Source organism: Homo sapiens, chromosome 20 (assembly GCF_000001405.40).
Source record: "Homo sapiens chromosome 20, GRCh38.p14 Primary Assembly".
NCBI classification, from domain to species: Eukaryota; Metazoa; Chordata; class Mammalia; order Primates; family Hominidae; genus Homo; species Homo sapiens.
In genome coordinates, this window is record NC_000020.11 from 24,427,465 (window position 1) to 24,441,114 (window position 13,650).

The window sequence follows — 13,650 nt, forward strand, 5'->3', positions numbered from 1 at the left end:
GCTGCAGAGTAATTCCCCTCCCGGATGCCCTGCCACTATGGTACTAAAGGCCTAGATACAGCAATTCCTTTTATCCAGCACATCATATCTGTCTTTTAAAAATAACAACAAAAAAATTTACAAGGCATACTGAAAGGCAAAAAAATACAGTTTGAAGTGACAGAACAAGAATCAGACATGGCAGGGATATTGAGATTATCAGACAGGGAATTAAAACAACTATGATCAATATGCTAAGGGCTCTAATAGATAAAAGAGACAGAAGAGAAATGTAAACAGAGATGGAAAGTATAGCAGCTTTATTCAAAATTGCCAAAACTCAGAAGAAATCAAGATGTTCTTCAGTAGATAAGCATATAAATAAGCTGTGATACATCCAGCCAATATTATTCAACACTAAAAGGAAATAAGCTACCAAGCCATTAAAAGATATGAAGGAAACTTAAGTTCATACTACTAAGTGAAAGAAGCCGTTCTGAAAAGGCTACATTCTGTATGTAGCTTTTATTCCAAATATATGACATTCTGGAAAAGGCTAGGGGTTAAGAAGGTGCCATGGGCTAGGGGTCAGGGAGGGATGAATAGGCATAGCACAGAGGATTTTTAGGGCAGTAAAAATACTCTGCATGATACTATAATGGTAGATATATGTCTGCATACATTTGTCCAAATTCAGAATGTACAATATCAAGACTGAACCCTAATACAAACTATGGGCTTTAGGTGGTAATGACATGTCAGTGTAGGCTCATTGATTGTAAAAAATCCACCACTCTGGTGTGGGGTGTTAACAATGGGGGAAGCTGGGCATGTGTGGGTCATGGATTATACAGGTATTCCTGTACCTTTCTCTCAATTTTGCCGTCAACCTAAAACTGCCCTAAAACAATATAGTGGTTTTTTGTTTGTTTATGTTTTTGGTTTTTTTGTTTTTTTAAGTAGTCAATAGAAACATACCCAAAGCTGATTCAGATATAGAAATTAGTATTTATGTAGCACTTATAATTGTGTTCAAAGACTTAAAGGAAAAGTTGAATGTAATGAATATACAGATGGAGAATCTTGGTGGAAAAAAAATGAAAATTACAAAAGAACCAAATAGAAATTCTAGAACTGAAAATTACAATACATAATCAATCACAGACCAATAGAAATTATGCAACCTGAAGGTTAGAAAGAAAAAAATGTTTGGAAAATGTGAAAAGAGCATAAATTACCTATGGCATAATATCATTTGGGTAATTGGAATTTCAGTAGGTAAGGATAATGAGAATTGGGTAGCAAAATATGTGAAGAAATGATGGCTGAATTTTTTTTCATTAATGGAGAAAAACATCAACTTACAGATAAAGGCGTATTAGCAAATCTCAATCAGAATAAATACAATGAAATCACTAGACTCAGACACACTGTGAAAGTATCTAGAGGAAAAAAGATGTGTTGTCTCTGGGGAGCAACCATACAAATAATAGTGTACTTCTCATAAGCAATGGATCAAAAGACAGGCAGATGGCAGCTTCTAGGTGCTAGAAGAAAAAAGGTGTTACTCCATAGCCTATATATTACAAAAATATCCTTATAATATAAGGATGAAATAAAAACATTTACAGAACAATGAAAGCTGAGAAAAGTTGTCACCCACAGACCTCCGCGACAATAAATACTAAAAGAATTCCTTCAGGCTGAAGGGAACTGGTAGCCAGATGGATAAATGAATCTACAGGAAGGAAAAGAAGCACTGGAAATGTCAAGTAAGTGGGTAAAGATAAAAGATTATATTTATTGTTCTTATAGCATCCTTAAAAGATAGCTTAATGTTTAAAAAATATATAATAACATGATGCTGGGAGACATAGCATATTTACAAGAATATATACTGTAAAAGTATGAATTATGTGAGATAAAAGAAATTCTTCTGTAATGTTTGAACATTTTATATGAAGTGATACAATGTTCATTGTATGTAAACTATAGGAAATTAAGCTGCATATCGAAATTCCTAGAACAACCACATAAAAATAAAATGATAGTAGACAACACTAATTGCCTCAAAAGAAGGTGACTAGGAAAAGAGAAAGAGAAATAAAAAAATACAGAAGCCAATAGTAAAATGAACCAATTAGTGTAATTGGTTATGATAGATAAGTATAACATAGTAATATACTTAAAACCATACATACTTACATATTTTTATTTATAAATATAAGTTATAAATTCCTATAAACATTATAGCACATACCATATAGTTATATATGCATATATACTTATATATAATTATAATCTGTATTATACATAATAGAATGTATAAAACATAAGACCTAGTTTCTCAAAGAGAGGAATCAACCTGAAGCAAACAGACCCACTGAAATTATGTTAAATGTAGGAACAGGTCAGCTTAATCCATTTGTTCTGGAGGTTTCAAATTTTTTCTGTGAAAAATCAGACCTTGGAGATGATCTTGAGCAGTAGGATATAAATAACTCCCACAAGCCTAGTGTTCCAATAACGGAACACCAGGCATAAATGGGTTAAAACACATCTCACTGGTAATCAGCAGTGAGAATAATAAAGACATTGCATTCATGAAACAAGAACAGGCTGATAAGGAAAAAAAAGCATCCAGAGAACAAGAAAGAGGATGGGAGAACCTAAAACATCACTGCTGAGGTTATACACATGCATGTGCCCGCAGGCACATGTGTGTGTGGAAAAGCAGAATGCGCAGTGATAGGTACTGAGCCACGCAGACACAAACATGAAGCTCTTCTGGAAAGTGGAGCAAAACGAGAGACGCGTTTCCACAGTCAATAGATGAGTGTGTCTGATTCAGAGCACAGATCTTGCCCCGTATGTATATCCAGGTAGCTCCTGAGAAAGTCTGTCTTACTCCTTCCTCTCCAGGCCATTTGGCTGACTTTTCTTCTCTACAGGTTTGCTGAGTGCAAATATCACAGTGCTAACCACCTGACCTTAAGACACGTAACAGCACCGTGGTTTACATGATGAGATAGAGGGAGGCCACCACATGGGGACATACAGATGAACTTGGAATACATGGGTTCTTGGTATGATATTATAATACACAGTACAATAATGGTCTCCATATTTTTCAGTTACCCGGGAAGAGGGAGGAGAGTACAAAGATGTGGAAAGATAATGAGAGGAGAACCGCATCCTGTGAGGGTGGATATTCCCTAATCCCCCCAAGCTGTGACAGATGTTCAGGCTCCTAAGAAGAGGACGAGGACACCTGGGGAGACAACTGCTGTGGAAAAATCTCCCCACAGAAGGGCTCTTTCCTGGAATGTCCCCTTCAGAGTACCTGAGTAACAGGAGCATCCAATGCCTAGAAGCACCAACACCTGCACAAGCTCACTGTGGGCTTCCAGCCCAAACTCCCCCCACAGCCTTCCAGACAAACTCCCAGACAGCCTTCCAGACAAACTCCCCCACAGCCTTCCAGACAAACTCCCACACAGCCTTCCAGACAAACTCACCCCATAGCCTTCCAGCCCAAATTCCCCCACAGCCTTCCAGCCCAAATTCCCCCAACAGCCTTCCAGACAAACTCCCCCCACAGCCTTCCAAGCCCAAATTCCCCCAACAGCCTTCCAGACAAACTCCCCCAACAGCCTTCCAGCCCAAATTCCCCACAGCCTTCCAGCCCAAATTCCCCCACAGCCTTCCAGCCCAAATTCTCCCAACAGCCTTCCAGACAAACTCTCCCACAGCCTTCCAACCCAAATTCCCCCCACAGCCTTCCAGCCCAAACACCCCCACAGGCTCCCAGCCCAAACTCCCCCAACAGCCTTCCAGACACTCTCCCACAGCCTTCCAGCCCAAATTCCCCCCACAGCCTTCCAGACAAACTCCCCCAACAGCCTTCCAAACTCCCACCACAGCCCAAACTACCCCCACAGCCTCCCAGACAAACTCTCCCAACAGCCTCCCAGACAGAATTCCCCCACAACCTTCCAGCCCAAAGTCCCCCGACAGCCTTCCAGCCCAAAGTCCCCCCACAGCCTTCCAGACAAACTCCCCCTACAGAGTCCCAAATTCCCTCCGCAGCCTTCCAGACAAACTCCCCACACAGCCTTCCAGACAAACTCCTCCCCGCCGACAGCCTCCCAGAAAAACTCCCCCCACAGCCTCCCAAATTCCCTCCACAGCCTTCCAGACACACTCCCCCCACAGCCTTCCAGACAAACTCCCCCCACAGCTTTCCTGACAAACTCCCCCCACAGCCTTCCAAACCACCCCCTACAGCCTCCCAGACAAAACTCCCCTCACAGCCTTCCAGACCGAACTCCCCCAACAGCCATCCAGACAAACTCCCCCACAAACTTCCAGACAGCCTCCCCACACAGCCTTCCAGACAAACTCCCCCCAATAGCCTCCCAAACATAACTGCTCCCACAGCCTTCCAGCAAAAACTCCCCCCACAGCCTTCCAGCCAAAACTCCCCCACAGCTTTCCAGACCAAACTACCCCCACAGCCTCCCAGACAAAACTCCCCCCACAGCCTTCCAGCCCAAACTCCCCCGACAGCCTCCCAGGAGAACTGCCCCCCTAGCCTCCCAGATCAAACTCCCCCACAGCCTCCCAGACTCCCCTCAACAACCATCTAGACCAAACTCCCCCTATAGGCTACCAGGCAAACTCCCCCCACAGCCTTCCAGCCAGAATCCCCCCACAGCCTTCTAGCCCAAACTCCCCCACAGCCTTCTAGTCCAAAGTCCCTTCCCAGCCTGCCAGCTAAAACTCCCCAACAGCCTTCCAGCCAAAACTCCACCTACAACCTTCCAGACCAAACTGCCCCCACAGCCTTCCAGACAAACTACATCCTCCCAGTCCAAAGTCCCCTTCCCAGCCTGCCAGCCAAACTCCGCACCCTTTCTTCTTTCATTTTTTTAATAAATTGGGAACGGAGTAAATCCACAGGCCTTCAAAAAAATTGTTTAACTTTGCTTTTCCAACTCACTGTGAAAGAGCCTTAGGAAAAAACTGTTTAATGGAAAGGAAATGATTAACAACCTTAATTTGTGTTTCGGAAATTGTAACTCCAAATATTTATCTACTTAAAAACTCCAGTAGAATTAACCAACCAAGTACTAGAACTAATAAGGGAATGGAACAGGGCACTTGATAACAACTCAGTCTGTAAGAATCGGTCGTTCTTCTATTCACCAGCAATGATCAGGAAAAAGGAAATCTCAGTAAAAAGAGTAACAATGTGATGAAATGAATACCCAGGAACAAAGAAATTAGGAAACGCACAGCCTGAAGGTTTAGATATCCATACCCACACAGAGCTGTTACACAAACGCCTTTACAGAACGCCCTAGAACAAAGGAAGAGATGCAGAATGTGTCTTGTTCCCAAAAGGGAGGCCCTGTTATTAGAAAAATGTAAATGCTCATGAATTGCTTCATACATGTAAATAACCTGTATCATAATCCTGTGATAATTTGTGATAAACTTCAGCAAGGTATCTATAAAGTTAATATGGGAGATAAAATGTAAAATCATAGCAAGGAGTTTTTTTAAAAATAGTAATACTAATGAGATACTTGCTCTACCAGATATGAAAGCAAACTATGAAGATACAGTAATTAAATCTGTATGGTATCAATATAGAGTGAAGCAGCCTCCTGGGAGAGAACAGACAGTTCAGGAACAGATTCACATGTAAGGACACATGATATTTGGAAACAGTGAGGGAAAGATGCATTATTCAACATGTTTATTCAGAAAATCCCACGCCATTTTGTGGTAGGCACCTTAGTAGACTCCAAATATGTGCACACTCAATCCCTATAATATATTCCTTTAAATGGCAAAAGGTACTTTGCAGGTGCAATTAAGGTTATGAACCTTCGGATAGTGAGATTATTTCAGATGACCAGGTGGGCCCAAACTAATCACAGGAGTCCTTAAAAGCAGAGAGGCTTTCCTGGCCATAGTCAGTGATAGGGACTTTGAGGAAGGGTCAGGGGAAGATGTGTTGTTGGCATTGAGGGTGGACAGCGAGACAGGGAACGCAGGAGGCCTCCAGAAATCAGGAAACACAAAAAAACAGACCCTTGCCTCACAGCCTCCAATGCCTCAAGCTTAGTCCAGTGAGACCTTGTTGGACTTGTGATCCACAGAACTGTGATAGAATAGCTTTGCATTGATTTAAGCTACAAAGTTTTTGGTAATTGGTGACAGCAGCAATAGGAAAGTGATACAACTCTGAAGAAAAAAAAGTAGGATTTTACCTTGTATTATGTATTTTTAAATTTCAGATTAGTCAGCCAAATACAACGAAACACTGGGTTAGATAGTAACACACACACACACACACACACCACTTGTAAGAGGTGTAGAGGAGACAGAAGAAGCTTGAGTAGAATAGATATATACATTTAAAGTGCAGAAAGCCATCTAGGCAACACATACAACCCAGAAACAATGAAAAAAAGATGAATAAATGTGACCTCCAAAATATCAACATTTTCTGAAGAACAATAAAAGCATAAACAAAATTAAAAATAAAAACAGACTGAGGAAGAATATTTTGAACATATGTAATGGACACAATGATACTATTGTTACCATATAAAACAGGTACTAAAACAAGAAAGAAAAATAACAATAACTGGAGAGAAAAAAGTTATACAGCATAAGGCAGGAAATTTCCAGAATAAGCAATTCAAATGGCTGGGAAACACGTGGAAAAAAAAAAGGAATCTGGGCAATGGCAGTGAAGCTAATATGAGGCTTCTCTCATCAGACAGGCAAACCTTTCAAATATTGACAACAGTCATTGACTGAACGTAACATACAGATTTTTCTTTTTTCATACATGGTGTGTAAATTTATGAAAAGCAAATAAAATAAAGCAAAACCTTCTTGTATGTAACTTACACCACGGTCATCTTAACCCTAACTTTTTTTTCTTTTTGTTTTATTACACAAGATAAACATGTACACACACATATATATCAAAACAACTGAGCTGAGGGCTGGAGAAACTAAAACCCCAGAGACAAGAAGTCAGGTGTCCCTTGCCTCATTCTGCTATTTCTGGAAAGCAGTGCCAAACTGCCCACAGTTACAGACTCAAGACCATCTAAGAGGGGAGATCTTCACATTCTCGCCAAAGCCTTCCTGCCTTGGCCTCCATCACTGGTGTATCCTCCTTGCTGCTGGTGTTAACACTCTGCTTTTGCCCTTTTTCTTTCCTTGAGGAGATCTGAAGGGACTTTAAGGGTGGGAGAAAATAATGCCTAAAGTTTATTAATTTGAGGCGTTGCTTATGATATTCTTTTTTTTTTTTTTTTTTTGAGATGGAGTCTCTCTCTGTTGCCCAGGCTGGAGTGCAGTGGTGTGAACTCGGCTCACTGTAAGCTCTGCCTCCAGGGTTCACACCATTCTCTTGCCTCAGCCTCCCGAGTAGCTGGGACTGCAGGCACCCACCACCAAGCCCGGCTAATTTTTTGTATTTTTTTTTAGTAGAGATGGGGTTTCACCGTGTTAGCCAGGGTGGTCTCGATCTCCTGACCTCGTGATCTGCCGGTCTCGCCCTCCCAAAGTGCTCAGATTACAGGCGTGAGCCACCGCGCCCGGCCGCTTATGATATTCTTTTTCCAGGAGTACAGAGTCTTAGTTCTATAAAAGTACTCAGGTAAACGTTGGAGCTGAGCCTGGCTTCTACCATCTACACCCTCAATAAAGAGAAACATTCTCTCAAGCAGTATAAATGGGGCTGACATTTTGGAGGGTGCTTGGGCCCTAGGTACTCCACAAGGAAAGAAAGATATATGCACAAGAATGTTATTGTAGCTTGGTTTATAACAAAAACTCAGAAATTGGAAATGACTAAATGATCACTGACATGGTGCTGGCTGAATACATTATTACTCAGCCCATCTCATTAGATGTGAATGGTGTGTGTGTGTGTGTGTGTGTGTGTGTGTGTGCATGCTTCCTGTGGGCACCATGCATTATTACTCAGCCAATCCCATTAGATATTATGGTGTGTGTGTGTGTGTGTGTGCATGTGTGCGCGTGTGCACGCTTCCTGTGGGCATGATGCATTATTACTTTCAGCCCATCCCATTAGATACTATGCATGTATGTGTGTGTGTGTGTGTGTGTGTGTGTGTGTGTGCATGCTTCCTGTGGGCACCATGAATTACTACCCAGCCCATCCCATTAGATACTGTGGCGTGTATGTGTGTGTGCACATGTGCACGTGCATGCTATCTTTAGGCACCATGCAGGGGCCAATGGAGACTGCCTCCACCATGCCTTGAACCACACTCAGGTGCAAAATTGCAGGTGCTTATAGCAGATGCCAGGTGTGTAGTTCCCTACACCCACTTACAAGTATTCCTTCCTTCGTAACACAAAATAACTCCTCAAACCAAGCAATTGTTTTAGCAGGTATGTGGGAGGAAGAAAAGCATCAAAGTCCACCTTAAAATAAATTATGAAGCATGATAGTTTTTAGGTTTCTGCCCTAAATATTTTATTGGTCGTATTTTATCACTTCTGGGGTTGAGGAGGGAGTGCACGGATTCTCCAAAATGAGCACAAAATGTGCTGTATGTATAGCTTTGGGTTTGAACTGCAGCTCTGGAGTTTGCTAAGCATATAGCCTTGGACAATTTGTTTAACTCCTTGAACCTTGGCTATCTATTTCATGGAGTTGCTGGGAGGACTAAGAGAAATATATGTAAAACTTTCAATGATGCCTAACCCTTGACAAAGGTCTGTTGTCTTCTCTTTCCTAGAATCTATCTCTGGAATTAGCAAACTACTGCCTGAGGGTTAAATTCAGCACACCACCTGTTTTTGTAAATAAAATGTCATTGGAACACAGCCAGACTAACTTGTTTATGTATTGTCTGTGGCTGTTTTTCTCCTCAATAGCGGCAGAGCTGAATATTTGTAACAAAGACCGTCCAGCCCACAAAAGCCTGAAATCTTTTCTCTCTGGTCCTTTACAGAAAAAAATCCTGGACTATGTAGTGGGTTACCACCTCTACTGCCTACTCTCCTGTGAGAGTTGCAAAATGATTAGACATATAAGGAAGGACTATTGTTACTAATTACACATATTCATTTGTGAAGAAGGGCCTTCTTTATACTTCTGTTACTAGTTATACTTTTAACTTCATTTAAATCTTTTTCCATAAGAGCTTATCCATATGTGATAATAAGCTGAATTTCCATATGTTTTATATTTCATGCATCTTTTATTAGAAGAAAGACCCAGATTCTTTTAACATAGTCTTAAAAGGGAAGTTTTAGTTAAGGCATATCCTATCAAATGGGATATGTTGGCTGCAAGGAATAGAATTCATAACTAAACGTGGTTCACACGGCACCCTTATGATTCACCTCACTTCATAAGACATCAGGCAGCTCGGTTGTCTGAAGGTTATATGGTGTCACCAATGATCCTAGTTCTTTTCATCCTTCTGCTAAGCCATCCTCGGGTCTGGGATGTTATTCTAATACCTTTTTGTCTCCTGGTCAGCTCCAGACAGCTATGTCCAGGGACAGGACTTGGATTGGAGGTGTTGGGAGGGGACTGGCAGCAAGAAAAATAAATGCTCCTCATCCTGGCCTCTCTCCATTTACTGGGGAGGATTATTTTTTCCCCAGAAATTCTGCAGCTGACTTTCACATTACCCTTTATTGGCCCAAACTGACTCATGGCGATGCCTCTGAGCTGCCATAGATGCTGGGAAATGAGTCTAGGTTGTTTGTTTGCTTGCTTGCTTGCTTGTTTTCAGTCTCATGGCAGATAAGAAAGCTGAGACGGGGTTTGGGAGGCCAACCAGTGCTCTCCACCAGATTGACCAACCTGGGTCTAGACGTCACCACCCAGGTGGAAACAGGGCCCCAGATAAGGAACCTGGGAATCCTCCTTCTAAGTTGGGTCTTTGATGTCTGCCTCTGTGGTGTCATTGACATGGAAACTCCGTTCAAAGAGTGTTTTCAAGGTGGTTTTCCAGTTGCTGAGGTGTGGATAAATGCAGTGATCATAGGAGGTGGCCAATTACATCCTTGCAGGTGGAGCCCAGGCAGCCTCTTCAGTGTGTTTTGTGTCATCTCTGTCCATTTCCCTGAAAGGACAGGGCTCCTTGCCAGATGATGGGGTCCCAAGCTGAGGCTCTCACCCAACATGGATGCATTGGCCTCTGTCCCATCCTCACCCAAGCCTCACTTATTCCTTTTCATCCAACTTCTTCTAATGATTGTAGTAAAAATAAGGATCCCCTTCCCTCTGAACGTTTGTTACTTTTTTATGTGAGACTTTTATTGCTTTTGGCCAAAGTCCTGCTGCAAGATTTATAAAGCAACTGCTGATTATGTGGGTTATGTATAATCTCTAGAGCTAGAGGGAAATTCAGAGCCTGGAAGTGGCTCTTATTGCAGAGGTGAGCTCATTTCATAAGAAGAGACCATGAGGTCACGAGACAAGCACTTCACCATGGAAGCCTTGTAGAATCATCTCGCACTCCTCCAGTCCTGCCGTTTGAAGTAGTCATTGTTAGACTGAGAGTAACATGTTTTCCAGCAACGAAGAAATGTCTATGACATATCCAGACATCAAGAACTAAGGCAAAACAAGCACAGGCGATTGTGGGATGTAGCCATTCCCCAGTATAAGTTTAAGAGTGTGAGCAGCCTGATGTAACATGAGAGAGATCTGACTTCTGCTCAGATAAGGAAAGCAACAACAAAAATGACAACAGGCAAACAAAGTAAGAAAATAGATTTAGCCACCGGTGTTTCACTATCCAAAACAACCAGTTACATGCTGATCCACTTTCAATCTTCCTGTTACCTTCCTAACCATCTGTTTTTTTCCAGGCATCATTTGCATTTATATTGCATATGTCTTTTGTACTCCTTTTCATTCAACATTTGAACCAAAGGATTTTTCCATCATATATGAGGAGTTTTGACTTAAATTGCTACAGAGGTCATTTGGTGTTGCACATCGTGAGGTGCCAATTCCCAAATCTCTTCTCTATTTGGAATTGAAGCCACTGATTTGGCATAGTCTCAGAGGAGAGTCAGTCCTTGGCATGAATGCACAACTCTCAGTCCGTCAACTGAGGCTTTTAACATTCTGATACAGGATGTACTCACCATCACCACACCTTGAAAACCAACCATCCAAGATTATTCAGTTGGCCATTTTTCCTTTTTGTTTTTTATTTTCAAAACCACTCTTTACTTTGAATACATAATAATGATATTTTGATAAAACAATACCAGCAGAATATATCAACAAGAGACTCTTTACCAATCCCAAGTTAGACGGGAGCAAGCAGGACAGAACTTATAAATAAGTATTGCCTACATGCAGGAAGAAAATGCTGTTTGGGAGCCAGTTAGTGGACAGAAAGATTCTGAGCCACACACATTTGGGATGAAATCACCATAAGAACAGAGAGCCCTGATTTACCCCCATGATCCAACAGAAACAACTTCTGTCAGACAGCAGAAAGCCTCTGGTGCTCCTTGGGCAATGGTATCACAAGAGAACTGCTGAGGCAAAAATGCTGTCTCTATCTGTCCTTACTATCATCAAGAATGTGAGCTACACTCAGTTCTCACTGAAAACACCTATACTTCAAAAAATAGTCTGTACCATTTTCTGAGAAGTTATCTTATGCCAGAGCTATGTTCAAACCTTCACCCACATCCCTCTGTGTTTTATAGAGAAGGTGGCTAGAAGGACAGAGGTGAAGCAGCTGACCACCAGCTTCTGATTTTACTCCTTCTCTAGTTACTCCCAAAACCCACATTTTTTCCCCAAACCTACAAAGTGTGTCTTTAAAAAGCAGTACAGTAATGTCTTCTAAGGTGTCACAATTTTTTTATTAGATAACAATGTGTTTAGTAATAGTCCATCATTATTCTTAATAATATGTTTAGTAATAGTCATCATTATTCTGTAAGCCAACTTACTTGGAATAGCTACTCCCTGTCCTCTCTGAACCACAGCCATTGCTACAAGATGGGAGAAGTCTGGGAGACAGGATGTGATACATATGTGTGTGCATGTGGCTAGAATGGGCAGCTGCCATGCATGAGTTTATTTGTTCATTCATTCAACAAACAGTAAGTGGGCATCTTCTGCATACCTGGCACTGTCCTCCGAAGATCAGTGAAGGCTGATGTCTGTGTGGTTCATAATTGGCAGTACCTTATCAAGGGCAGGTGTCCCAGCCATGTTGCTGAAGAACACGCCTCCTCAAAACTTAGCAGAGGTTAACACATTCATGTTGCTCACCAATCTGCAATGTGCACAGGGTGTGATGAGTCTGTTTGCTTCCACATCATATCAGCCGGGACAGCTCGAAGGCTGGGGATGAAATCACCTGACAGCTGGCCCCCTCACCCCATGGCTGGCCCCCTCACCCGCCTGGTGGTTGAAAAAAGCTGGATACTGGCTGAGGCTGTCTTGAGCACCTGCACGTGACCTCTCCATGTGGCTGCTCGGCCTCCTCACTGCACGGTGGTGGCTCCATGATTGAGTATGCAAGTGTCCAGGCAGATGCTATACCACCTCTTAGGATTTTGCCTTGGAGGTTCCACAGCCTCACTTCCTGGTAGTTGTGGTCCCACCCAGATTCAAAGGGAGGAGTGTGAGCATCATGCCATGCACAGAGCAGGGCGTGGGATAAAAGCTGGTGCAGCCAGCTTAGGAGAATCCAATCTGCCACAGCAGCTCAGAGGCTTTCCTGCAGGCCCCATGGTACAGAGTTGGCTGCTCCTCAGCTGTGCTGTTGAAAGATGTCAGAGTAGTTTAGTAAGAGGAGAGCTGACATGTGGTTCTGGACTTAGCTGGGGAGACAAGAAATGCTGGTGTCACATAACAGTTAGGGCAAATTGTCCTTTGTGCCTGGGGTATGTGTGGCTGTTGGGGACCAGGAGGCTGCACACCCCTTTCTCTCAAGCCTTTACACAGCTCAGATGGGAGGCTAAGACCTCAGACTCTGGAGAAAGACCAGGCCATTTGCTAGTTAGTGGGTGTAGGTCCCTGACCTTAGCCCCAGAAAACATCTGCAGAGGCTGAGCCTCTTCACTAATGCTTTGGACACAATGCCATTTATAATTAAAACTGATTCATGGTGATTTTTGTTTCTCTACTCACTTAACCAAAAAGAGTGTAGTGTGACCATAAAGTCTGAAAAGAGATACTATTATTTATCATCTACTATAATATAGTATCAATAAACCATGCATTGTGTGGTTCCAGGCTTGGTGGCCACCCTGATTATTCTCATAACAACCTTTAAATTAGTGTCCCTGCTTTGTGGATGTAGAAACTAAGAGAGGAAAAGATTAGCCATCGCCCCAGGGTCATGTACAGACCACCAGGATTCAACCTCACTTCCGTTAAGTGTTAAACTTGTGGTCTGTTCAATGAGCTAGCTGACAACAGAAAGAACATTATTATAAAAAAAGAAAATGCATTGTCTCTCCCCATCAGGAAAGGCTCCCATGCCCCCAATGTGGGAACCATCTGGCCGGTGTGGTGCTCACTACTGAGGAGTTGTTTAAATCGCTCAAACTTTCCACACTTCACTGGGGAGGGACTCAGTGAAGTCTTTGATGTCACTTATGCTGTGTGGG